Genomic DNA, 26,461 nt, shown 5'->3' on the forward strand with positions numbered 1-26,461 from the left:
GCAGGGGATTGCTGGGCTATGGCTTGGTACTTCTCTTTCAAATTAATCACACATATATAAATGCGTTTCCATGCAAAGTTATCTCGTGCCTTCAATAAGGCTGAAACGTGGAGCAGGAGTCCTACTGTGCATCGGTCTCAGAGGGTCTCGGCCAGAGCACTGCCCTGGGAGTCAGGAGCCCTGGGTTCTAGCCTTCCACTGCCACCAACTCCACTTGTGGCTTCAGGAAGAGTCTCTGCCTCTGGAGCCACGGGGCACTGGGTTCAAATCCGGACCCCTCCACTCTGTGACCTGATTATGACTAGCTGTTGTCACCTCTCTGTGCTTCAGCTTCTTCATCTGCATGTGGTGGGGAATGACTGGCCCAGGTGGTGGGTGTGAGTGGGAAGGGATGTCATGGAGGCTTCGGAATACTTGCCGCTGAGTCCGTGTATGACCCCTGGAGACTCAGAAATACCTGGAGAGACCTGGGGGTGGAGTTCTGTTGGCACATGGGTGGGGGTGGGGCAGCATCTGGGGAAAGGTGACCTCCTGGTCCACGGGGTCCCACTGGGACTTGGTGCTGACATGAGGCCCGCATGACGTGGCACAGGCAAAGCTCCTAGCACGGTTGTGGGTCTTTAATAAATGCCCATTTCTGTCTTCTGTTTTTTTCCTTTTCCAAGTTTTAATTTTAAAATAGATGTTTTGAAGACAGACCAGCAGATTGTCAAGCAGGCAGGACTTCAGGGACAGTCTGAGCTGCTTTTTGGTGACTTGCAAGATCTACAGACGGTGGCACTGCTTAGAGAGTGGAGTTCTAGACAGCAGTTAAATGGAGTGAATTGCCCTTTAGTGTAGACGAATCTCCAACACCAGATGGAGGGGAAAGAAGGAAGTTACAAAAAGAAAAGTGCAGCAAGAGGCCAGGCGTGGTGGTGCATGCATGTAATGTCAGCACTTTGGGAGGCCGAGGGGGGAGAATTGCTTGAGCCCAGGAGTTTGAGAGCAGCCTGAACAACACAATAAGACCCATCTCTACAAAAAAATAAAAAATTAGCCGGGCATGGAAGTGCATGCCTGTAGTCCCAGCTACTTGGGAGGCTGAGGCAGGATTGCTTGAGCCTGTAGTGAGCTGTGATTGCACCACTGTACTCCAGCCTGGGTGACAGAGAAAGATCCTGCTGAAAAAAAAAAAGGAAAGAAAGAAGAAAGAAAGAAGAAAGAAAGAAAGAAAGAAAGAAAGAAAGAAAGAAAGAAAGAAAGAAGGAAGGAAGGAAAAAAGAAAGAAAGAGAGAGAAAGAAAGAAAGAAGGAAGGAAAAAAGAAAGAAAGAAAGAAAAGAAAGAGAGAGAGAGAAAGGGAGGCAGAAAGAAAGAAAGAAAGAAAAAGAAAGAAAGAAAGAATGGAAGAAAGAAAGGAAGAAAGAAAGAAAGAAAGAAAGAAAGAAAGAAAGAAAGAAAGAAAGAAAGAAAGAAAGAAAGAAAAAGTGTGGCAAGAGGCTGGTGCAGTGGCTCATGCCTGTAATCCTAGCACTTTGGGAGGCCGAGGCAGGCAGATCACTTGAGGTCAGGAGTTTGAAACAAGCCTGGCCAACATGGTGAAACCCGGTCTCTACTAAAACAAAAAACAAATAACATAATCAGCTGGGCGTGATGGCGGGTGCCTCTAATCCCAGCTACTTGGGAGGCTGAGGCAGGAGAATTGCTTGAACCCAGGAGGCGGAGGTTGCAGTGAGCTGAGAGTGTGCCACTGTGCTCCAGCCTGGGCAATAGAGCAAGACTCCGTCTCAAAAAAAAAAAAAGAAAGAAAGAAAAGTGTCACAAGAGACCATTTATAGAAAGTTTAAGAACATGCCAGATGCTGATCTGTCTTCTCTGTGGAACCTGCACACAGTCGCCTTCAGGAGAATGTTCCCTGAGCAGAGGAAAAGGTTCTGAGGCTCACGTGAGGCCATGGTGTCAGGAGCTCACTGGGCCTGTAATAGCTCCTGTTTTTTGAGCACATACTACACGCCAGGCACTCTTCCAATGGCCTCATTGATCACTCCCATTTAACAGATGAGAAAACCAATGCCCAGAGAGGTCAAGGGCCCTGTCCAAGGCCACACAGTTGGTAAGTTACAGAGCCAGAACTCGAACCCACTGCTCTTCATGACCAACCCACATCGCCTCTCACACTGAGGCACACAGTTCTTCGTGTTTTAAAAAGGATTTCAGACACCTAAAGGGAGCGTGGTCAAATGTTAGCACGGGTGAAGTCTGGTGGTGTGTTCCTGGGTGTTCCTTCTTCTGTTCTTGGTAATTTTTCCATAAGGATGTTTACGAAGGCTGGCTCTGGCCTGAGGTCTGCGCTGGCCCCTTGCCTGGCCATGATCTATACCACACAGGTATCCCGGCTACCAGAGTGGCAGAGCAATGGCTCACTCACTCCCCAGCACTCACGAGATGGGTCCTGGCACATTCTCCCGCTGCAGCTAAGAGTGGCGGAGGAGGCCTGGGCCCTGCGGAGAACAGATTCACCAACACCTTGGCGGTTCTTCTCAAGACAGTGGGGACAGGCGGCCTGTCGGGGAAGAGGCTGCCCCGAGGCCTTCCCAGTCTTTCTGTAGAAGGGACGCAAAACCATGGAATTAGCAGAGCCTGGTCTGCTGGAGCCGATGCGTAGGTGCCCATACCGACCCAGTCTGGCCAGAGAGGCGCTGGGTGTCCACTGGCCTATGTGCCCTGATAGTGGCAGCCGATGATGCCTGCCGGGCTCCTGGAAACGTGGGCAATGCTCCTGGACCCCACACCCTCAGGCCCCAGAGGGGCCAGCAAAGGCCTGGTCTCACCTCTTCCCCACTCCCACTCAAGAGATAGGGAAACAGAGGTTGGGTTGAGGGAGAGTCCTTAATGGGGAATTTGAAGCAGGGCCAGGCGGCTCCCTTGTGCCAGGCAGCCTTTGTGGGCCCTGAATCATTTGCTGAAGAAAACTGGGACACTTCTCAGCCCCAGGCCTGGCTTCCGAAGCTGCATTTCCATTAGATGGAGTGTGAGGCACCTTCGGCCCAAAGGACTAGCTTTGTCTTTGTTGCCCTGGTGGTGCACATCCCACCGCCACACAAGCACCTCTGGCTCCAGATGGCATTTGGTGGAATTGTCCAGCTGTGGCAGGAGCTCAGGCCATAGAAATAGCCAAGTCAGAGCATTTGATCATTCATTCATTCATTCCCTCATCCTTTCACTCATTCACTCATTCATCCTTTTGTCCATTCATGTGCTTATTTGTTCTTACAAATAATAAGATGCCTAGCACGTGCCAGATGTCATACCCTGGGAGCTCAACAGCCGGGCCCCTGCCTTCAGGGAGCTGCCTAACTGGTGGAGACCGGGGAACCGGGTTCTGGCTTCTATATCACTATGGTTTGCTTCATCTGAAATGAATGTGGTGACTCCAGCTTTATTTTAATTCAAGGTAGCATGGTGTATCTTTCTCCATCTCTTTGTTTTTCAACTATCAGTCTTTACATTTAAAGTGGATTTCTTGTAGACAGAATATAGTTGGGCCTTGGTTGTTTATTTTTATTTTATTATTATTATTTTTTTGAGACAGGGTCTCGCACTGTCACCCAGGCTGAAGTGCAGTGATCATGGCTCACTGCAGCGTCGACCTCCTGGGCTCAAGTAATCCTCCCACCTCAGCCTCGAGAGTAGCTGGGACTATAGGCACACACCACCACACCCAGCTAATGTTTTTGGATTTTTTGTAGCAACAAGGTTTTGCCACATTGCCCATACTGGTCTTGAACTCCTGGGCTCAAGCAATCTGCCTGCCTCAGCCTCCCAAAGTGCTGGGATTACAGGCATGAGCCACCATACCAGGTAGGCCTTGTTTTTTTGTTTGTTTTTTTGTTTTTTGAGATGGAGTCTTGCTGCGTTGCCCAGGCTGGAGTGCAGTGGTGTGATCTCGGCTCACTGCAACTTCTGCCTCCTGGGTTCAAGAGATTCTTCTGCCTCAGCCTCCTGAGTAGCTGGGACTACAGGCACGCGCTACCACGCCCGGCTAATTTTTGTATTTTTAGTACAGACTGGATTTCACCATATTGGCCAGGCTGGTCTCGAACTCCTGACCTCGTGATCCTCCCACATCGGCCTCCCAAAGTGCTAGGATTACAGACGTGAGCCACCATGCCCCGCCTAGGCCTTATGTTTTAATTCACTCTGACAATCTATGTCTTTTAATTGATCTATTCCAATCATTCAGATTTAAAGTGATTGTTGATAGAGATGGATTACCATCTACAATATGTATAACTCTTTTCTATTGATTATACTTGTTCTTTGGTCCTGCCTCCCTTTTCTTACCTGCCTTCTCTGGTTTTAAAAATGGAGCATTTATTAGTATGATTTCATTTTACCTTCTTTTAAAGCATATCAATTATATTTCTTTTACAATTATTTTAATGGTTGGGCTAGAGTATGCAACACATATTTTGTTTATGTGGTTTTTAAAACTTTAAAATTTTTATTTATTTATTTTTGAGATAGGGTCTTGCTCTGTCACCCAGGCTAGAGTGCAGTGGCACAGTCTTGTCTCACCACAGCCTCAACTTCCCAGGTTCAATCAATCCTCCTACCTCAGCCTCCCAAGTAGCTGGGACTACAGTTGCACACCATCACGCCAAGCTAATTTTTGTATTTTTTGTCGAGACAGGGCTTTGCCATGCTGCCCAAGCTGGTCTCAAGCTCCTGGGCTCAAGCAATCTGCCTGCCTTGGCCTCCCAAAGTGCTGGAATATCAGGGGTGAGCCACTGTGCCCAGCTGGGTTTTTTTAATTAATAGACTTTTTGAACCATTTTAGATTTGCAGAAAAATTTGAGCAGATACTACAGAGGAAATACATTTTTTTCCTAATAAAAGTCTACCTTCAAATAACACTATACCACTTCATGTGTAGTGTGATAACTTATAACAGAATTTCCAGTTCCTTCCTCCCATCTCTTATGACATTGCTGTCATCCATTTCACCCATCCATGTGCTATAACCATCCAGTACGTTGAATTTCTGACCTATATCATCTTCTTTCTCCCTGAAGAACTTCTTTACTTCTTCTTCTTTTTTTTTTTTTTTTTTTTTTTTTTTGAGATAGAGTATCTCTCTCTCGCCCAGGCTGGAGTGCAATGGTGCGATCTTGGCTCACTGCAAGCTCCGCCTCCCAGTTTCAAGCAATTCTTCTGCCTCAGCCTCCCCAGTAGCTGGGATTACAGGCATCCGCCACCACACCCAGCTAATTTTTGTATTTTTAGTGGAGACTGGGTTTCGCCATGTTGGCCAGGCTGGTCTCCAACTCCTGACCTCAGGTGATCCACCCGCCTCAGCCTCCCAACGTGTTGGGATTACAGGTGTGAGCCACTGCACCTGGCCTGAAGAACTTCTTTTAATGCTTTTTTGTTTTCGTAGGGCAGATCTGCTGGTGATGAATTTCTCCCATTTTTGTTTTTCTGGCAAAGCTTTCATTTCTTTTTCACTCCTGAAGGATAATTTCACTGGATCTAGACTTCTAGGTTGATGGGTTTTTTATTTCTATTTTTTTCTTCTACCACTTTAAAGATTTCACTGTACTGTCTCTTGGTTGCCTGGTTTCTTTCTTTTTCTTTCTTTTTTTTTTTTTCACAGAGTCTCGTTCTGTTGCCCAGGCTGGAGAGCAATGGTGCAATCCCAGCTCACTGCAACCTCCACCTCCCAGGTTCAAGCAATCCTCCTGCTTTAGCCTCCCAAGTAGCTGGGGTTAGAGGTGCCCGCCACCATGCCTGGCTAATTTTTTGTATTTTTGTAGAGCGGGGGTTTCACAATGTTGGCCATGCTGGTCTCGACTTCCTGACCTCAGGTGATCCACCTGCCTCAGCCTCTCAAAGTGCTGGGATTACAGGCGTGAGCCACCGTGCCCGGCCTGCTTGCCTGGTTTCTAATGTTTGCTGTAATTTTTCTCCTTGTTCTTCTATAGGTAAGGTATTTTTCCCCCTCTGGCTTCTCTCAAGGTTTTTCTTCATCTTTGGTTGTCTGCAGTTTGCATAGGATATGCCTCGCTGTTGATTTTTTGGTATTTATCCTGCTTTATGCCTCTTAGATTCTTGGATCTGTTGTTTTGTATCTGTCATGAATTTCAGAAAATTCTTAGCCTTTTTTTTTTTCTTTGAGACAGAGTCTCGCTCTGTGGCCCAGGCTACAGTGCAGTGGTGTGATCTCGGCTCACTGCAACCTCTGCCTCCTGGGTTCAAGTGATTCTCCCGCCTCAGCCTCCCGAGTAGCTGGGATTACAGGCGCCCGTCACCATGCCTGGCTAATTTTTGTATTTTTAGTAGAGACGAGGTTTCTCCACGTTGGCCAGGCTGGTCTCGAACTCCTGACCTCAGGTGATCAGCCCGCCTCCACCTCCCAAAGTGCTGGGATTACAGGCATGAGCCACTGTGCCTGCCCTTTCAGCCATTTTTACTTCAACTATTTCTTCTGCCATTTTTTTCCCCTTCTTCTCTTTCCCATTTTCAAGTTATCTGTATTTACATCTTTGGAAATTGTTCCACAGTCCTTGGATGCTCTAGTGTTTGTTTTTGTAACTTCTGTTTTTCTCTTGGTGTATCAGTTTGAGAAGCTGCTGCTGACGCATCTTTAAGCTCACTGGTGTTCTCCTCGGCAGTCTCAGTCTACTTGTCAGCTCGGCAAGGGCATTTCTGTTACATTGTTTTTGACTTTTAATATATCTTTTAATTTTTTTTTTTTTTCTGAGACGGAGTCTCGCTCTGTCACCCAGGCTGGAGTGCAGTGGCGCAATCTTAGCTGATTGCAAGTTCCGCCTCCTGGGTTCACGCCATTCTCCTGCCTCGGCCTCCCAAGTAGCTGGGACTATAGGCGCCCATCACCATGCCCGGCTAAATTTTGTATTTTTAGTAGAGATGGGGTTTCACCGTATTAGCCAGTATGATTTCGATCTCCTGACATCGTGATCCGCCCACCTTGGCCTCCCAAAGTGCTGGGGTTACAGGCATGAGCCACTGTGCCCGGCCTTCATTTTTTTTCTTAAAGTGGACCCCTCTCTGCTTCTATTACCCATTTGTCCTTGCCAATGTCCTTGTCAATATTCAGAGATGTTTGGTCTTGATGTTGTCAACTTTTTCCACCAGAGCCCTTAACATATTAGTCATAGTTATTTTAAATTCCATGTCTGGTAATTTCAGCATCTGTGTCATGTCCCAGGCTGGCTCTGATGCTCCTTCTGACTGACTTTTTTTTTTCTTTTTTGAGACAGAGTCTCGCTCTGTCACCCAGGCTGGAGTGCAATGGCACGATCTCAGCTCACTACAGCCTCCGCCTCCTGGGTTCAAGCGATTCTCATGCCTCAGCCTCCCAGTAGCTGGGATTATAGGCGCGTGCCACCACGCCTGGCTAATTTTTGTATTTTTAGTAGAGACGAGATTTCACCATGTTGACCAGGCTGGTTTCGAACTCCTGACCTCGGGTGATCCGCCCGCCTCAGCCTCCCAAAGTTCTGGGATTACAGGCGTGAGCCACTGTGCCCGGCTCCTGACTGTGACTTTTCTTATCTTTTTTTCATGCCTTGTTGTTTTTCTGGAAAGCCAATCAGGATGTACTAGATAACAGAAACCGAGGTAAATAGGTATTAGGGTGAGGATTTATGTTACTCTGGCTGGGGCTGGGCTGTGTTTGACATTTTCTGTGGCTGTAGGAGCCCAAACCTCATGGCTGTGGCCCAGGCTCTGTGTCACTTCCACCTCTGTACACTCATCTGGAGCCCTGTGTTGATGTGTGACTATCACCCAGTTCTGAGTCCCAGCTGGGAAGTAGGCGCCATCGTGCCCTCCGATTCCATCCTGGCTCTGCCTATTCCCAGCTGTCTGTGCAGGAAGCCGTTGCAGGCCGCATTTCCCACCCTAGCAGCCCTCTGCTAGGTTCAGCCAATGAAAGCCACAGGTGGGAGTTGGAGGGGAAGTGGCAGGGAGAAGCCGGGGTATTTCTCCTCCTCTGTCTGTGCAGAATCTCTGACAGTGGCTATCTCCAGCTGTGGCCAGACAGGCCTTGTGAGGGTCCAGCTTTGACAAGGTGACCATAGCTCCTTGGCTCCAGTAACATCTGCTCTTCCTGCATCAAGGACCTGGGGACTGTTCCTACTGTTGCTGATCTCAAGGTTACTTCACTGAGCCCTGTATGGCTTCTTAGCCTCTTTGGCTTCAAGTCCCTGCGTTAAATTCCCCGTGTTTCAAATACTCAGAGATGTTTGGCTGTGCGGAGACCCTGACTCTTACACTGCACCTGTTCAGGCCAGAGCCACAGACCTCTGAGTGCTCCAGCCCTGCCGCATCTCATCCACCCCCAGCTCTGCCAGGAGCATGGGCCCAAAGACAGAAACATGATCCCCCAGGACAGTCCAAAGAGACCTGCAGAGGACGGATGTGTGCGTTGGGGCCATGAAGATGGAGTAGGAGCTCACTGGACAGAGAAGATGGGGAAGGACACTCCAGGGAGAAGCAAACGCTGAGGTCCACTTGAGAAAAATGCCTGGGTGGTTTTGGTGCTGTGAGATTCTAGGGTAGGTGAGACAGTGTGTGTGTGTTTGTCTGTGTGGGTGGTTTTGGTGCCATGAGATTCTGGGGTAGGTAAGACAGCGTGTGTGCGTCTGTATGTGTGTGGGGGGGTGGGGCGGGGTTGGGTCTGAATCTCCAGCGGGGGCAGCGGAACAAAGGGCTGGATGCCCATCCCAGGAGGTAGATTCATCAGTGCTCCCTATGCGAGAGTGGAAGTGGGGAGCCCCAGTGGGTCCTGGGCTGCAGGAGAATCCGCTGCCCCAGGAGCAGAGACTGGGAAGAAGCCCACAGTAAGGGCAAAGGGTGGACTGCGGAGACTGCTCCGTCCTCCCTCCCCACCCCTACGCCAGGTTTCACTTCTCCCTGAGAGTCCTGGGGCAACACCCCCTGTTCTTTCCCTCGCACCCCCATTTTTAAAATGTTACGTGGGAGCTTTCGGGGACGGGCTGCGGGCATCCGTTTCCCTAGCCCAGTGGGAGGTGGAACCGAAGCCCAGGAGTCCAGGCCTCTGGCCCTGCGCCTCCCTGGCTAAAGAGCGCCCTGTGGGGAGGAAGCAGGGCCCCAGGCGGAACCGGGAAAACACACCGGGGCTTTAAACAGACCGGGCCACTCCCATCGAATTTGGAAAGCGGTTAAAAGAGGTCGTGCCGCATTCTGCGCCGCGTCCCTCTTCCTTCAGTCCCGCCGAGTGTCCCCGACCAGAGGTGACCTCCTAGAAGGGGAGGTCCCCAAACTCGAGGCCCTGCGTGTAGGGAAGGGGAGCGCCCGCCCCTTCCCTGCCGCCGCGAGCGCCCCGGGAGGGGACCGGGGCTGCCGTCCCTCCGCCTCTTCCCCCGCGGGGCGTAGCGATGGCCCGGGCCAGGGCCGGGGCGCTGCTGGCGCTTTGGGTGCTCGGGGCCGCCGCGCATCCGCAGTGCCTGGACTTCAGGCCGCCCTTCCGGCCGACGCAGCCGCTGCGCCTCTGCGCGCAGTACTCGGACTTCGGCTGCTGCGATGAGGGGCGCGACGCCGAGCTGACCCGCCGCTTCTGGGCCCTGGCGAGCCGCGTGGACGCCGCCGAGTGGGCCGCGTGCGCCGGCTACGCGAGGGACCTGCTGTGCCAGGTGAGCGGGCGCGCGGCCACCGGGCGGGGCGGGGCGCGGGAGGCCGAGTCCTGGAGCAGAGATCGGAACCCCGCGGGGGCGAGGGCCAAGAGTGGGCGGCGGACTCGGGAACTCTAAGCCCCAACAGGGAGTCATTTGGCACGGGGCGGGGAGACCGCGCATCCCAGGACGACTCTTGGCTTTGCCATTCATTAGTTTTGTGACTTGGGCCTTCTCGGGGCCTCAGTTTCCCCTCCTGAAGCAGGAAGGACGGACGGACGGACAGATGATGTCATCATTTCCTCAGAGGTTGGGGGCTCTTCTGCCCCAGTCCCCTGGAGTCGACCCCTCAGCGTCCCACCCCGAGCAGCTGCACCCTTGTCGGGGTACCAAGGTGGAGAGGCATCTGTCCCGGTCAGTGCTCCTTTGTGTTGTCCCCGGGGCAGTGAAAGCAGGGGGCCCTGGCGTGGGCGTGGTCAACGTGTGGCCCGGGTTTGTTGAGGGGGTTGGGGCCACTGTCCCCCACGAGCGTCTCACCCCCATCCTGATGCCCTTGCCACTTCCGCCACCACCTCTGTGGGTGCTGTGCCCTCTCCTGGGGATGGCGCCCTGGCCTGCAGAAGCTCTCTCAAGACTGAGCGACAGCTCTTTGTTGAAGCCCCTGGGCCCCCCATCTTCCCTCTGAGGGTGGAGCCCCTGCTTCTGTGCACACCTGGTGGTGCCACCGCTATTTGTTTTCCTCTTGTGGGAGTCTGAGGCCCCAGGGCCTGACCACACCCAAGTGGGCAAATGTTGCCTGGCTGAATGCAGAAATGGAGCAGGACGGGCAGCCCCAAGGCATTCCTGCCTCAGCATCTGGGCAGTGAGAGGCCTGGGGTGGAGAGGCCCCAGGGGCCAGGGCCGTGTCCCAGCCTTCGGCCAGCAGGGGCAGGTGGTGTGGGGAAGGGCAAGAAGGCTGACTTGGAGTTGGAGTTTGATCCTGGCTCTGTCACTTCCCCAGCTTCGTGACCTGGGCAGGTCACTGCTGCACCTCACAATATCTTTAAAATGAAGCTGAGTATGGTGGCTTATGCCTGTAATCCCAGCACTTTGGGAGGCCAAGGTGGGCAGATCACTTGAGGTCAGGAGTTCGAGACCAGCCTGGCCAACATGGCGAAACTCCATCTCTACAAAAATACAAAAATTAACTGGGCATGTTGGGGAGCTCCTGTAATCCCAGCTACTCGGGAGGCTGAGGCAGGAGAAGCACTTGACTCTGGGAGGCAGAGGTTGCAGTGAGCCAAGATTGAGCCACTGCACCCCAGCCTGGGCAACAGAGCAAGACTCCGTCTCAAAAATATAATATAATATAATATGATATGATATGATATGATATGATATGATATGATATGATATAATATAATATAATATAATATAATATGATATAATATGATACATAAAATAAATAAAATAAAACCTTAACCACCCCCCTGGGTGGCCATGCAGATTAAATGCCACATACTAGGGGCTCGGTAAGTGTTTGCAGTTGGATTTCTCGAGGGCTTCCTTGGCCCTCACTGGCTGCCCAGCCCTGGGAAGGGTCCAGGTGAGGCTTGGAGCCCGAATCAAGGAAGACTCAGAGGCAGGCAGGGACTTGCCCAGTGGTCGCACAGCCCAGCGGTGGTTGAGGTGGGGACATGGACCACACTCGCTGAAGCGAGCTCATATCTTAGGTGGGAAGCAGTAGACTCTGGGAGGATGAGGAGGGGGCCCTGGGGAGCTCCAGAATGCAACAGAGGGTGGGCTGGCCACCTTTAGGTGGGCTCTGCTGGACTCCCATGCTGTACACCTCAAGGGCACGGGAATGGTCTGGCCAAGCGTCTGCCTCCCTCACCAGCCTGGGGGCTCCTCAGGACCAGGTCCTTTGGTCTCCCTACCCCCATCACATAGCAGAGTTCCTGCATCCATGCCACATTTGTCTATTGAGCACTTGCTATGTGCCAGGCTCAGCACGGCAGTGAGGTGGGCAGGTGGATGGAGGAAGGGAAGGGTCAGTCCTGATGCTGTCCCCTGGCAGGTTTCTTGGGAAACTTCCCAGGACAGCCTGGCTTTAAGCAACCAGCAGTTAGCAGGAGTGACCACTAACACTTCAGCCCAGGCGTCTCTGAGAGTGACCTCATGTCTGGAGTGAGCTTAGAGACGGCGGCTGAGGCTGGGTTATGGTTTCACTGACGGGGCCTCCTGGAGCATGCTGGCGGGAGGACCATGCTCTCTGCTAGCCAAGGCAGAGTCTGCATTTGGCACCTCCTGATTTCCACACGGGGAGGTGGTGGAGGTGCCTTATTCATAGGTCTCTGTCAGTGTGGAGGCACTCAGGCCTTCACACCTGCTTTGGGGGGATGGGAGACTCTTTCCTGAGGCTTTGCTTGTCCAGTAAGTGCCTGTGTCCTCTGGAGGAGAGAGGACAGCCATGGCACGTGGCATCCCCAGTGCATCTGGTGTGAGCTTCCACATCGCTAACCTCCCCTGTGACTGGGGTTGCCTCTCTAAGCCACTAAAATCATCAAAGCATGGTTTCTGATGGAGATCTCCATGAAATGTATTCTATGGGCTCATGTATTCAGCAGGCTCTTCCTGAGCCTGTTAGGAGGCAGCCCTGTGCTGGATGCTGGGCCCAAAAACAGTTGGCAAGTCACAGGCCCAGTCTCAAAAATCCCCTTCATCACTTCAGGAGACTGACACACACAGGAAGGTGCCAGAAATTCCTCAAGGAGTGTAGGAACAAGGCCACATACCTCAGGGAAGGCTTCCTGAATGTTGGTTGCATGTTGATAGCTCATTATTTACTGAACAAACACATACATCTTCTCCATTTGTTCCTCCCAACAACTCTATGAGGTTGGAATTCCTTTCCCCTTCCACAGATGAGGACATAGGCACAGAGAGGTTAAGGAGCTTGCCCACGGTTAAGAGCAGTAAGAGGTTAAGGAGCATTCCCCATGGGGAATGTGTGCGCTGGCTCCAAAGCCATTCTCCTAACCGCTTTGCCACACTGCCTCCCTCCTTGAAGCCCCACTGTGTCCCACAGTCCGTGGAGTGGACAGACATGCAAAGAGATAATGAAGTCCTAGCCAAGCTGACTGGCTGGAGCGCCCCTGGCGACGGAGCAGTGACTGCTGTAGAGAACTCACCCTGTAAGCTACAAGATTCAATGGAGTGAGTGTCGTGTCTGAGATATGGACAGAGTGCATTGGGAGCATCCATAAGGGCCAGGGATGGGACAGTCAGAGCCCTGGGAGCATGGAGGACAAGAGGAGACCTTTGAGTAGGCCTTGAGTCATGAATAGCAGTTTGCCAGATGAGGAAGTAGGTGAGAAGCAAATATCCGATGGACAGGACACTGTGCAAAGGCTTGCTCTTTCAAAAAATGAACGGTGGACATAAGAAACCTTCAGGACCCAGGGCCATGAGTCACGAGTGTCAGTGACATGGGGGTGGCAAACTCTGGGCAAGATGGGGGCCCTCCGCCCTGCACTGAATGGCCCGGGCGGCTGAAGCCTGCGATACTGGGCTGGTTTCCTATGGCCTTCCTGCCACCTGCCCCTAAACACACTGAGGCCAAGCTGCGGATCATCCTCTTGCCAGCAGCAATCACTATGTCTTCTTGTCACTTCCTAGCTCTGGACTACCCTGGTCTGGGCACCACATTTACGTCGTGTGTAAGTAAGAGTACATAGGCCACGAGGAAGCATCTGCTGTGTGATTGGGACGCACGGATGCCGAGGTCTTCGGCCTGGCTCCCTGAGGGAACTTTTGCTCCCTCTGTAGTTCTGGATTGGGCTTTGGTGAACGGAGGGCTCTCGTTGCCTTCCAGATGTCTGTTCTGCCCCTCACTGCGTCTCTGGAACCAAGATGGTGCCTGGTACAATCTCTGCTCAGTAAATTCTTGGTGAATGAAATGTTGCTGACTAATCTGGAAAGAACACCAGTCCAGGCATCATGAGGCTTGGGTGTGAGCCCTGGTTTGGCTACTTCTTGGCACGTGGCCTTCTTTAAGTCTCAGTTCCTCATCTATAAAATAGGAGTCAAGCCGTGTACGGTGGCTCATGCCTATAATCCCAGAACTTTGGCGGGCCAAGGCGGGAGGATTGCTTGAGCCCAGGAGTTCAAGACAAGCCTGGGAAGCATAGAGAGACCCTGTCTCTGCAAAAAATAAAAATGAAAATTAGCCGGGTGTGGTAGAGCACGTCTGTGGTTCCAGCTACTCTGGAGGCTGAGGTGGGGAGGATCGTTAGAGCCCAGGAGGTCAAGGCTACAGTGAGCTAGGATTGTGCCACTGCACTCTAGCCTGGATGACAGAGAGAGTCCCTGTCTCAAAAAATAAACAAATAAAATAAAATAGTGACAATGACCCTACCTTGCAGAGATGAAAGAAGGCACGTGTGCACACAGCCCCTCCCTGGTCCACGTGCAGCTGCCGGCTGACCCACAGGTGGTTCCCAGTGAACCATGGGAGGGACAGCACACACGGCGGCCTGAGGCCTGGCCATCTGGCCTGCTCACTGGCAGAGGGGAGCATGTAAGACATGGCACCCTGGTCTGTACCTGGGACAGTAACTGACCAGGACCCCAAGACATTCTGCCAAGTGGCCCTTGGCCAGTCAGGTGAGACCTAGCCTCACAGCAGTAGAGGGGCCAGGAGGACATGCTGTGGTATGACCAAAAGCCACAATCATGTCACAGGAGTGAGTGGGCCCTGGCCTGGGGCTTGAGAACACCCCGGGAGGCAGCCTGCCATCCCCCATCCCCAATCCTCCCCCAAACGTCCCAGAGGCCTCTTGCTGGAACCCAGCCTGGTCCTCCCTGTGAGGGGAGGGAGTGTGTGGCTGTCAGTACCTCCCCACTGCAGAAGGAGCATCCCCCGAAGCTCTGGGGGCCCAGAGCTGACTCAGACCCAGGCTTGGCCTGGTGGACTCACAGGTGGGGGAGGGTGTCAGTCACAGATAGAAAGAATGACCACGCCACAGGCCGGCGGCTCTAACAGGGAGGCCCGCAGACAGCCTGGAGCTGTAGGGGTAGGGTGCAGGGAGGGTGCTGTGGTGTGGGGACACTTAACTGGCGTTGGGGATGGGTAGTTGGGAGCTGGCCAGTAGAGCTGAGCAGACGTGGCTCAAACCCCAGCCCACTGGCATGTGACATGATACTTTGGGCTCCCTTCTGCTGTCTCTGCTTCCACCTCTGTGCAGTGGTAATAAGAACAGGCCTCCCTCCCATGGTTGCCTTGAGGAGGAAATGCAGATTCATGGGCACACTGCCCTGGTGCCTGGTCCACAATTTGCCCCAAACCCCAGGAGCTGCTGTGATTGGTTAGCATGGCTTCCCCCACGGCCATGGCCATGATTTAAGAATAAAGAGAATTCTGCCTGCCAGAGAAGAGCAGGGAAAGGGCATGCCTGCAAAGGGAACAGCCTGTGCTGAGGCTCAGAGGTGTGAAATGGCAGGGAGTATGTATTAGTCTCTTCTCTCATCGCTATAAAGAAATACCTGGCTGGGTGCAGTTGCTCACGCCTGTAATCTCAGCACTATGGGAGGCTGAAGCGGGAAGATGGCTTGAGCTCAGGAGTTCGAGAGCATCCTGGGCAACATGGCAAAACCCCATCTCTACAAAAAATACAAAAATTAGCTAGGCGTGGTGGCTCTCGCCTGTAGTCCCAGCTACTCAGGAGGCTGAGGCAGGAGCATCTCTTGAGCCCAGGAGGCAGACATTGCAGTGAGCTGAGATGGTGCCACTGTATTCCAGCCTTGGTGACAGAGAGAAAGAGAGACCCTGTCTCAAAAAAACTAACGGACAAACACAAAACAAAACAAAACAAAACTGGGTAATTTATAAAGAAAAGAGGTTTAATGGGCTCACAGTTCTGCAGGATGTATAGGAAGGATAGTGGCCTCTGTTTCTGGGGCGTTCTCAGGAAACTTACAATCATGGTGGAAAGTAAAGGGGAGGCGGCATGTCTCATGACGACAGCAGCAGCAAGAGAGAGATGGTGTGGGGGCACACTTTAAAACAACCAAATCTAATGAGAACTCACTCGCTCTACAGTACCAAGGGGAGATGGTACTAAACTAAACCATGCGTGAGAACTCCGCCCCGTGATCCAGTCACCTCCCACCAGGCTCCTCCTCCAACACTGGGGGTTACAATTCTACACGAGATTTGGGTAGGGACACAGATCCAAGCCATATCAGAGTATCAGGAGATGGAAGGTAGACAGGAGGCTGGAGAGGTGGGGAGAGGCAGGAGCTGATGATGGAGCTGTCCATGGGCAGAGCCAAGTTAGAGAGCACTTCGTGTTTTACTGTTTTTCAACAGATAGAGGCCGGAAGGTACTAGAGGGTGCGGACGGGGTGGTCAGGGAGGATCGGAGGTGAGCCTTGGGCAGGAACCCAAGTTAAGTGCAGCAGTGAGCTGTGCTGATGTAGGGGCGGAGGCGCACTGTTAACACAGAGAGGGTGGGTGACAGTGCCTCAGACTCTTCCTGGCATACGGCAGGTGCTCCAGAGTAGCTGCTGCTGTTGCTGCTGCTATTAATAGGAGTAGTAATAGTGTTCTAACAACAACACAAACATTAAGACCTAAGGTTTGCTACTGTCACTGAGGCTTATCGTGGTAACAGGCAGATGGCGTTGTCTCCATTTTATGGATCAGCAGACTGAGGCTCTGAGAGATGGGGGACCCGCCCAAGGTAACCTTGGGCTGGTAAGCACCTCCACAAAACATCTCTGAGCCATTACTGTCTCTGCAGGAATGCTCGCCGTATGCAGCCCACCTCTATGACGCCGAGGACCCATTCACGCCCCTGCGCACGGTGCCCGGGCTCTGCCAGGATTACTGCCTGGACATGTGGCATAAGTGCCGGGGGCTGTTCCGTCACCTGTCAACTGACCAGGAGCTCTGGGCGCTGGAGGGCAACCTTGCCAGGTTCTGCCGCTACCTGTCCCTGGATGACACGGACTACTGCTTCCCTTACCTGCTGGTCAACAAGAACCTCAACTCAAACCTGGGCCACGTGGTAGCCGATGCCAAGGGCTGCCTGCAGCTGTGCCTGGAGGAGGTGGCCAACGGGCTGCGCAACCCCGTGGCCATGGTCCATGCCAGGGATGGCACCCACCGCTTCTTCGTGGCCGAGCAGGTGGGGCTGGTGTGGGCCTACCTGCCCGACCGCTCGAGGCTGGGGAAGCCTTTCCTGAACATCAGCCGGGTGGTGCTCACCTCGCCCTGGGAGGGTGACGAGCGTGGCTTCCTGGGCATTGCCTTCCACCCCAGCTTCCAGCACAACCGCAGGCTCTACGTCTACTACTCAGTGGGTATCCGCAGCAGTGAGTGGATCCGCATCAGCGAGTTCAGAGTCTCCGAGGATGACGAGAACGCCGTGGACCACAGCTCTGAGAGGTGGCTTCCTTGGGGAACCCGGGCCTGGGTGGGGGCAGGCACCCATATGCACTGGTGTGACAGGACCAGTTGGTATCCTGTTCTCACATATTGTGAATATTTAACACACCTGGTGGGGGTGCTGAATTTCATGCTTTGGGGCCTGGAGAAGGACAGTTTTACAGAACAGACCTCACACAGGCATCATATCCAAACCCCTCCATCTGGCCTGTGAGGCCTGACATTTCTCCACCAACTCTTATTTCAGGCACTTTAGATGCTTCATTTCATTTGATTCTCCTAAAACCCACTGAGGCTAGTATTATTTTTCCCATTTTACAGATAAGAAAGTGGAGGCTTAGAAAGGTGAAGTGTTGGGTCACACGGGGAGGGAGGGTCAGAGCTGGAACCCTGATCTGTTGTCTCCAAAGCCCGCCCTCTGCCCCAGCCTGCCTCGCTCTGGCCTGAAGGTGCCATCTTTTTTGTTTTGTTTTGTTTTTTGAGATGGAGTCTCACTCTGTTGCCGAGGCTGGAGTGCAGTGGCACAATCGCAGCTCACTGCAACCTCCGCCTCCCGGGTTCAAGCAAATCTCCTGCCTCAGCCTCCTGAGTAACTGGGACTACAGGCACACACCACCACACCTGGCTAATTTTTTGTATTTCAGTGGAGACAGGGTTCCACTGTGTTGCGCAGGCTGGTCTTGAACTCCTGAGCTCAGGCAATCTGCCCGCCTCGGCCGAAGGTGCCATTCTTGAGCCCCACTGGGTCCTTTTTCCCACCTGAATCCCCTGCCTCAGGGAACTTGCTCTCCTTCCTGCCCTGAAGTTCATCTGTTCCTGCCTCTGGGCTTTTGCTCCTCTCAACAAGGCCTGCAGAGCCTGCACTCTGTGGATGATTTATGCCCCAACTGTTTTCAAAATGGGTCTGACCTGACCTTGCACGTGGGGCACATGTATCAGTCTAAGTCCAGTAGGAAATAAACCCTGTAACAGGTAACTCAATAGGTAGAATTTGATCCTGGGAGTCAGTTACTCATGTGTTAGAAATGATAAAAGGGCTCAGACGCAGTGGCTCACGCCAGTAATCTCAGCACTTTGAGAGGCTGAGGCAGGTGGATCACTTGAGGTCAGGAGTTCAAGACCAGCCTGGCCAACATGGCGAAACCCTGTCTCTACTAAAAACACAAAAACTATCTGGGTGTGGTAGTGGTTATCTGTAATCCCAGCTACCCGGGAGGCTGAGGCAGGAGAATGTCTTGAACCCAGGAGGCAGAGGTTGCAGTGAACCAAGATCCTGCCACTGCACTGCAGCCTGGATGACAGAGCAAGACTCTGTCTCAAAAAAAAAAAAAAAAAAAAGAAAAAAGAAAAAAGGCAACCTGGGGAAGGCAGCGACTCTGAGGTTAAAAACTGGAGGAAGCTGCCTCTACCCCTTGGGCCGGGAGGACAAAGTGAGAAGATGGGGTTACTGGCGCCCTGGAGCTGGGGACACCCAGTGGAAGCTGGAGCCATAATTGGCCTGGGCAGGAGGAGGTGGAGCCGAGAGAAGGAGCAGCTGTTGCCAAGAAGCTGCTTAAAGCAGAGAAGGGGAAAAACCCCAGTGCTCCTCCCTCTCCAGGCTCCTGCCAATGCTGTCCACTGGCTGAACCTCGCTGGAGGCCAGCTATCTAAGAAGCCTGGGAAATGTCGTTCATAGGAGCTGACCCCCTGCAGTAGAGAGGAGGTAGGGGGAGGGCCAGGACTGGGTGTGAGGGCAAATTGGCAAAGAACAGCACATTGTGTGTTTGATAAAACTGTAAAATCTTGACACCGAATGTATAAAAAGGAGGAGAAATCAAATATGTTAGCTATGAAGGCTAATGTGAAGCTTTATGATTCACAGCATTAGTTTTGACTATGAGCTTCCTGGCAGCCAGAGTGAAAGGAGGAAACATAATTATCAGATCTTACAGGAGCCTGTACAGCCAGTTCTCCAAGAGAGACCAAGTTTATCACATGGATCTGACAGAGGGGAGATGGAGGGACAGAATGGATGTGTCTTCAGTGGTGACTTTTAAAAATGGATTCCTGATAAAGACTTGAGGTGGAACACAAAATACACAGATGAACATATTTCAGAGTGGGGGCTCAGCAAAGGTCCTCTGGTGACCTCACAAAGTCAAGCCTAGAACTTGACTCACTGTTGGGGAAAGGTAGGCACAGCAGGCTCAGGGCAGGCCAGGAATGAGTGGTTATCCTTGCCTGAATCCGCTGTCAGTCTCTCCTCCCAGAGCTGAGATCCCAATGCCGGGTGGATGACCGAAAGTCTGAGCTGTTCTCTCCATGGAGAACCTGGAGTTTGGAGCTCTGTATTGCTCACCAGATCATATGCACAGGCCTCACAAAGAAAAGTCCTCCAGTCTTGGCTCTGAAAAATCAAAGTCCTGGGTTCAAGTCACTTGACCTTTCTGTATCTAATTTTTTCTTATTTGTATGGATAAGGGATTAATAGGCTGGGTGCGGTGGCTCAAACCTGTAATCCCAGCACTTTGGGAGGCCAAGCAAGGAGGATCGCTTGAGGACAGGAGTTCGAGACCAGCCTGGGCCACACACTGAGAGCCCTCATCTCTACAAAAAATTAAAAAATTGGCCGGGCATGGTGGCATGCACCTGTAGTCTCAGCTACTCAGGAGGCTGGGGCAGGAAGATCCCTTGATCCCAGGAGTTCGAGGCTACAGTGAGCTATGACCACATCACTGCACTCCGGCCTGGGTGGTAGAGTCTCAAAAAAGGAAAAAAAGAAAGAAAGAAAAAGAAGGGATTGAGAAATCAGTGACCGATCCTGGAAAACCTAAACCACCCTAAGTATTTCAGTCAGAGGAAACTGAACACAGGGATGACTAAGGCATTGGGAGGGCTGGAGAAGGAGAGGAGGAAGGTTAAGTTACTTAAAGACTAGTAACTGTAAGAAGCTGCTACCACTCTTGGGTTGGAGGAACAAAGGGAAAAAGTCCTTTGTGCTGTGGACTTTGCTGCTCTTAGTACCAAGATGGCTGGGTGGAAACCCAGGAGTCCACGTTCACCAGCCAACCCTGCTGTCTCTGCAGCCACCACTTCCGGAGGCAGGGCTAGAAGCCAAAGAAACCTGGTCTCTCCCTTCCACCCACCAACCCAAACTGGAAGCCAGCTGGCTGGGAAGTATGGTGGTAGGTTTCCTGCAATGGCAGTAAGGGAGGTTCCTGAGTAGGGTGAGTGTGGCGCTGAGTGCACCGCACACCGTCCTGCCCACCGTTAGAAGCTGCAAATGAGAGAGTACATAAGATGAGCTCAACATAAGTAACTAGTGTGTGGGAAGCTATGATGAGGAAGAAACCAGCTGTGTCAGTGACTAGGTCGACAATTTCCCATAATCATAACAGGGCAGGTGCTAGCAATGGAGAGCAGAAACAAACAAAACAAAACAAAACACTAGGCCAGAACGAGAAGACTTGAGTTCTAATCCCAGCTCTGCTACCTGTGGGCTGTGTGACCTTAGACAAGTTGCTCAACCTCTCTGAGCCTTTAGGTCCTCCTTGGCACGATAGAGTGCATTAACTTTGCTCATTCTACCTACTAGCTCCTTGTGGAAAATCACTTAATGTAAAGGATATGAAAAGTCTTTTCCAGGCTGGGCATGGTGTCTCACGCCTGTAATCACAGCACTTTGGGAAGCCAAGGTGGGCAGATCACTTGCGGTCAGGAGGTTGAGACCAACCTGGCCAACATGGTGAAACCCCATCTCTACTAAAAATACAAAAATTAGCCAGGCATGGTGGCGGGCACCTGTGATCCCAGCTACTCAGGAGGCTGAGGCTGGAGAATCGCTTGAACTTGGGTGGCGGCGGTTGCAATGAGCTGAGATTGTGCCACTGCACTCCAGCCTGGTGACAGAGCAACACTCTGTCTGCAAAAAGAAAAGAAAAGAAAGAAAGAAAGAAAGAAAGAAAGAAAGAAAGAAAGAAAGAAAGAAAGGAAGGAAGGAAGGAAGGAAGGAAGGAAGGAAGGAAGGAAGGAAGGAAGGAAGGAAGGTCTTTTCCATTGTGAAATGACATCCAAGGAGACCGTGATCTTGTTTTGTGTGTTTGGCTCATGCGTGGAAGGCTGAGTTTTAGGGGCCCTTATCTTCCTTTAGGATAATCCTGGAGGTCAAAGAACCAGCCTCAAACCACAACGGGGGCCAGCTGCTTTTCGGGGATGACGGGTACCTCTACATCTTCACTGGAGATGGCGGGATGGCCGGAGACCCCTTTGGGACATTTGGAAATGCCCAAAACAAGTATGTTCAGCTTTTGATTGGCTTGTGGGTTGGTCTCCATATCCCTGGGCTTCTCATACTCTTCCAGAGGGTGAGTTCCTTCCTCGGCCAGGCATTGTAGGGCAGGAGAAAAGGTTCTGGGTCCCAGCTCAGCCTGCAGCTAGCTGGGCAGCCTAGGCAAGTCACTTGCCCTCATCAGTTAGAGGGGGTAAAAGTCCACTCTGCAGGCAGCTTGTCACAAGGAGTAAAGGCAATCATGGCTGCTCAGGGCCTGGCACAGGACCCTCTGGGCACAGGCGCCTGAGAGGTGCATTAGCGAGCCTCAGGGCAGATGGGATTTTCTCTAAGGTCAGCCTGGCCCTGCCAGACCCCTGCTGGAAGAAGGGAAGGGATGCTTCCCAGGCCGAATGGAAAGTGTGAGCTGGCTGGAGCAGGGTGGCAACAGCACGTGGGGCTCCTGTCCCAGGGTCCCTCAGGAAGACCCAGATGTTAACGTGTAGTCTTGCTCTTTTACCCACTTCCTGGCTTGAGCAAATGAGCTCAAGATCTCATTCCATTACACACACACACATACACAAATATGCATACACACACATGTACACACATATATACACACATACACACACAAACACACATACACACATGCATATGCTACATATACACAGCACACACATATACACACATACATATGCATGCACACACACATTCACATATGCACATACCACATACACACAATACACACACATATACACACACATCCACACACATCCACATACATCCACATGTACACACACATACACACATACATACACATACACACATCTACATACATACATACCTTCACACACATACATACACACAGTCTTGGGAGTGTAAACAGGATGTCCAGGAGTCTCAAGTCAGCCTCCCCCATTCCCTTAGCCAAAATGGTAAAACCTTCCTCAGCCCAGGAAGTAAAAATAGCAAGTATGATGTTGATTACAGTAATTAAAGTGCTCACAATTTGTGAGTTGTCCTTTCACGTGTGACAGTGTAAGCATCATCCCAGCTTTCTCACGTTTGGGATGTGTTTAGAGATGAAGTTGAGAAAACAGAAATTAAGGATTAATGGATAATTGGACAGAACTTAAAAACATTATTTTGCTGCTACAAGTTGTGCCCACTTAGATATCGAATCCTGGCATGTGACGCGTGGGTTCAGGGGTGTGATCTGGATGGTGTTCAGCAGGCTGGAGTGTATGAGAGGAATTTACGGGGGAAAGTAGAAGGCCAGCAACAGGGGCTTGATCACAAGGCATATATCGGGTGGGAGCGTTTCATCACCGTGAAAGAGGATACTTGTTTGCTGTCCCTACTGATAAGGGAAAGGTGTGGGTGCTAACGCTATGTGAGGATGATGGAATACAGCTTCACAAACCCTGCCTTGAAAAGCAACCCAGAGGGAGGACACCAAAATGCTAACAGCAAGGGAAACTGATGCATTCAGTCGGTGCATCAGAAATCACCGCTGAGAAGGGCATGTTCTCCGCACTGTCTTTAAGCACATTACAGATTTTTCCCATCACGCGTCACTTTTGTCATGAGCTATCCTCCTTAGCTGCTTGGAGCTTAGGGCTGCACCCCTCTGCTCTCTCCCCCTCTCCCCACCAACCCGCACGCTGGTGCATTTGGCTTTGATTGCAATCCTTCATTCACTGACTCTGCACTTAATGGTCACCTACTATGTGCTGGTCACAGTGCCGAGTACTGGAAGAAAACTGTAAATACAAGTCATTTTTTCTAGTGGAATTTTCACCCTATACCACAGTCCGGGAGGACTGAATGGTCTGAGCGGGACCACTCTACTATTACAGTTGAGGACACCAAGATTCCACAGAGTGTGTGGTAAAGAGCTTGAGTTTCTGGGCCCAGGCTGTCTGGGCTGGATCCCAGCGGTGCGGCAACTGGGCGATGTTATTTGAGCTTTCTGAGCTCCGCTGCCACATCTGTAAAGTGGGGATCATACTAGGACACACCTACCTAAACGACTGTTGTGAGGACAAGACGAAATAGATGATGTGTTGTGTCCAACGCATGGGACAGGCCTGGCGCACAGGAAGGTGGGGGATGCATGTTGAGTGAATGAATGGTTACCCGGCTGTAAGTAGTTAAGGCGGACAGCATCCCAGGGTCTCTGGCCCCACAGCCTAGGCTCACCCTGCACCTGGCTCAGCGGTCAGCCGGCGCCCCAGCACCTGCCCCGCGGAGCCCGTGAGCCCTGGCTCAGGGCGACCCCGAGCCGCGCCCTCTCCCACCCCGCCCGCAGGTCGGCGCTGCTGGGCAAGGTGCTGCGCATCGACGTGGACCGTAAGGAGCGCGGCCTGCCCTACGGCATCCCGCCCGACAACCCGTTCGTGGGCGACCCCGCGGCGCAGCCCGAGGTCTACGCCCTGGGCGTGCGCAACATGTGGCGCTGCTCCTTCGACCGTGGCGACCCCTCCTCGGGCACTGGCCGCGGGCGCCTCTTCTGCGGCGACGTGGGCCAGAACAAGTTCGAGGAGGTGGACGTGGTGGAGCGCGGCGGCAACTATGGCTGGCGCGCGCGCGAAGGGTTCGAGTGCTACGACCGCAGCCTGTGCGCCAACACCTCTCTCAGTGAGTGCCCGCGCCCCGGGGACCCCGGCCCCGAATCCGCCCCCACCCCACCCCACCTGCTGTGCCGCAGGGCCTCCCTCGGAGACCGCACCCCCCCCCCCCCGGAGATCCCTGACCCTGAGTCTGTCCTCGGCCCCACTCTATGGGCTGTGCGGCAGGGCCTCACTCGGGGACCACCCGCACCCCAGGCACCCCCTGACCCTGGATCTGCCCCCACCCCAACTCCACGGGCTGTGAGCCAAAGCCTCCTTCGGTGACTGCCCCCGCCTCCACCCGGAGCCTCCCTGCGCCTTGGAGGCCTCCCAGCAGCGCTCTTGAGTTCTTCCTCGCTCCATCCCCACCTGGCACCCCTGCAGACACGCTTTCCACCACGCCAGCCCTGCTGTGGGCACGCCAGCCCTGCTGTGGGCACGCCCCTCCCTCCGTGGCCGCCCCACCCCCGCGGAATCCCTCCGGAATTCTCCTGGCTGATGAACCTTCCCGCCGCTGGCTCACCGAAGCTTCTCTCCCTCCCACCCCGCAGATGACTTGCTGCCGATTTTCGCCTACCCGCACACGGTTGGCAAGTCGGTCACAGGGGGCTACGTGTACCGGGGCTGCGAGTACCCCAACCTGAACGGCCTCTACATTTTTGGGGATTTCATGAGCGGGTAAGTGACCTAGTGCCCTCGCGCCCCTGGCTGCTGCCACTGGCTCCTTGGGACTGGCTCCTTGGTAAAGGGGAGTGTATGTGTGCGCCCGTTCCTGCACATGTGCCTCGCTGCTCTGACAGGGGCCCCTAGGTGTGGGCCGGACACCCGCATCCACCCGCTTTTCTCCTGAGATGTATGGTGAGCCTTTGCTGCAGGCCTCAGTACCTCTATGATAGACACACAACTCATGGCATTAAAGACTGGAGGCTTGCTTAAGTGCGGGTCCCGTGGTCTTCCTCTCCCTCCTGAGAACCATGGGCTCTGGGCCTGACAGCAGTTCTGATGGGCAGGAGGGCAGAATATGAACAATTTCCTGGACACTCAGGGCCACCCTGCTCCTGGGGAAGCCACAGCTTGTCACTGCAACAGCTGATGGGGGCCTGGAGCCCTGCCCCACCCCACCCCAGCCAGGACTGCAGGGAGCTTGCAAAGGTTGAGAAACTAAGACCCGAGAGAACAGTGGCTGCCCATGGGCCTCCTAATGGGGAGAGGAGGAGGTGGGGCTCTTGTGGCCTTGGAGCCTTGCTGCCCTGCCCCCGTGCTCTAGGGCAGCAGTACCACCCACTGAGACCCTGCTGTGGGAGGAGGATGAATCACATCCCAAATAGGTTTGATGGGGGAGGGAAACCTACATCACAACCCTCCTTCGAGTCAGGCTCTGTCCCCAAGGGTGCTTATGGAGCCTCGTGACCACCTTGTCCCATTTACAGAGGAGAAAGCTGAGGACTAAAGAGGCCCAAGGGCAGGCTGAGACGGCTTGGTCTGAACTCTGGCTCAGTTACTGGCCAGGTGACCTTGAGCCAGTTACTTCACCTTTCCTTATCTTCAGCTACCTCATCTGCAAAATGGAGATGATCATAGTACTTGCCCCTAGGGTGGTTTTAAGGACTGAATCAGTTAATACATAAATATCACTTAGAATCTAGTGTGGAAAGAAAGAAAGAGAGAGAAAGAAAGAGAGAGAGAGAGAAAAGAAGGAAGGAAGGAAGGAAGGAAGGAAGGAGTACATGCTTAATATATGGTGATTTTTTTTTTTTGAGACAGGGTCTCATTTTGTCACCCAGGCTGGAATGCAGTGGCACAGTCTCAGCTCACTGCAGCCTCCACCTCCCAGGCTCAAGCAATCCTCCCACCTCAGCCTCCTGAATAGTTGAGATTATAGGCATGTGCCACCACGCTTGGCTAATTTTTGCATTTTTTGTAGAGATGGGGTTTTGCTCCATTGCCCAAGCTAATCTTGAACTGGACTCAAGCAATCCTCCTGCTTTGGCCTCCCAAAGTGCTGGGATTACAGGCTGAAGGTACGGTGCCCAGCCTGGTGTTTCTTACTTATTTCCATGCAACCTCCTCTGGCAGCAGCCGAATAGGGTTCCTAAGGAGAGGGAATAAAGACATGAAGATGCCTGAAGCTAGTGGGAGAATTCTGATTTTGTGTCCAGCCTGCAGCCTGGAGCTGAGAGAGATACCTGACCTGGGCCCCTGGAAGTTGGATTCCTCTCCCAGATCCGCCCCTTCCCCGGGGACCCAGCTTTCCCATCTGGAAAATGGGTACAGATGAAGCCTCTGTTTTTACCCCTGATTCTCCTTTCTCCCTTCTGTCCTTCCCAGGAGAGCCCAAGTCTCCTGACCACAGAAATTCAACTAATTTTGCCAGTATTTTCCCAGCCGCTCTGCTGGGTCAGGCAAGAACCAGGATGACAGAGATGAATAGGACCCCTCGTACCCGAGCCAGGGAGACAGACCCATTCAGTCCACTGCACTGCAACCCCAGAGAGCCTGTGCACAGTGTCGGGGAGCCCAGCATGGGGGCCTTCA

General features: G+C 52.7%; 1 protein-coding gene across 7 annotated transcripts in view, besides 2 other annotated features; it reads left to right on the plus strand.

Annotated features, from left to right (window-relative positions):
- The window catches only part of HHIPL1 (HHIP like 1), a 76,032-nt gene that overhangs the window by 31,265 nt on the left and 18,306 nt on the right, over positions 1–26,461 (plus strand). For 3 of the 7 annotated variants that reach the window (XM_011537236.3, XM_006720277.4, NM_001329411.2), the window contains exons 3-6: positions 16,422–17,068; positions 21,198–21,341; positions 23,626–23,954; positions 24,478–24,604. In XM_011537236.3, the coding sequence (XP_011535538.1) occupies positions 16,422–17,068; positions 21,198–21,341; positions 23,626–23,954; positions 24,478–24,604 (1,247 nt within the window). Of the gene's footprint in view, positions 1–9,307; positions 9,661–9,886; positions 10,054–16,421; positions 17,069–21,197; positions 21,342–23,625; positions 23,955–24,477; positions 24,605–26,461 lie in introns of those variants that run through there. The other 4 variants (XM_011537237.3, NM_032425.5, XM_017021707.3 and 1 more) reach the window with 3 other exon arrangements.
- Positions 16,305–16,805: an enhancer, noted in NCBI's record as "H3K4me1 hESC enhancer chr14:100118444-100118944 (GRCh37/hg19 assembly coordinates)". NCBI's record gives its function as "activates a minimal SCP1, AML or CMV promoter by ChIP-STARR-seq in naive H9 embryonic stem cells {active_cell/tissue: H9 hESC(naive)}" and the evidence as "EXISTENCE:reporter gene assay evidence [ECO:0000049][PMID:30033119]".
- Positions 16,806–17,306: an enhancer, noted in NCBI's record as "H3K4me1 hESC enhancer chr14:100118945-100119445 (GRCh37/hg19 assembly coordinates)". NCBI's record gives its function as "activates a minimal SCP1, AML or CMV promoter by ChIP-STARR-seq in naive H9 embryonic stem cells {active_cell/tissue: H9 hESC(naive)}" and the evidence as "EXISTENCE:reporter gene assay evidence [ECO:0000049][PMID:30033119]".

The sequence above is a fragment of the Homo sapiens genome, chromosome 14 (genome assembly GCF_000001405.40).
Source record: "Homo sapiens chromosome 14, GRCh38.p14 Primary Assembly".
Lineage (NCBI taxonomy): Eukaryota > Metazoa > Chordata > Mammalia > Primates > Hominidae > Homo > Homo sapiens.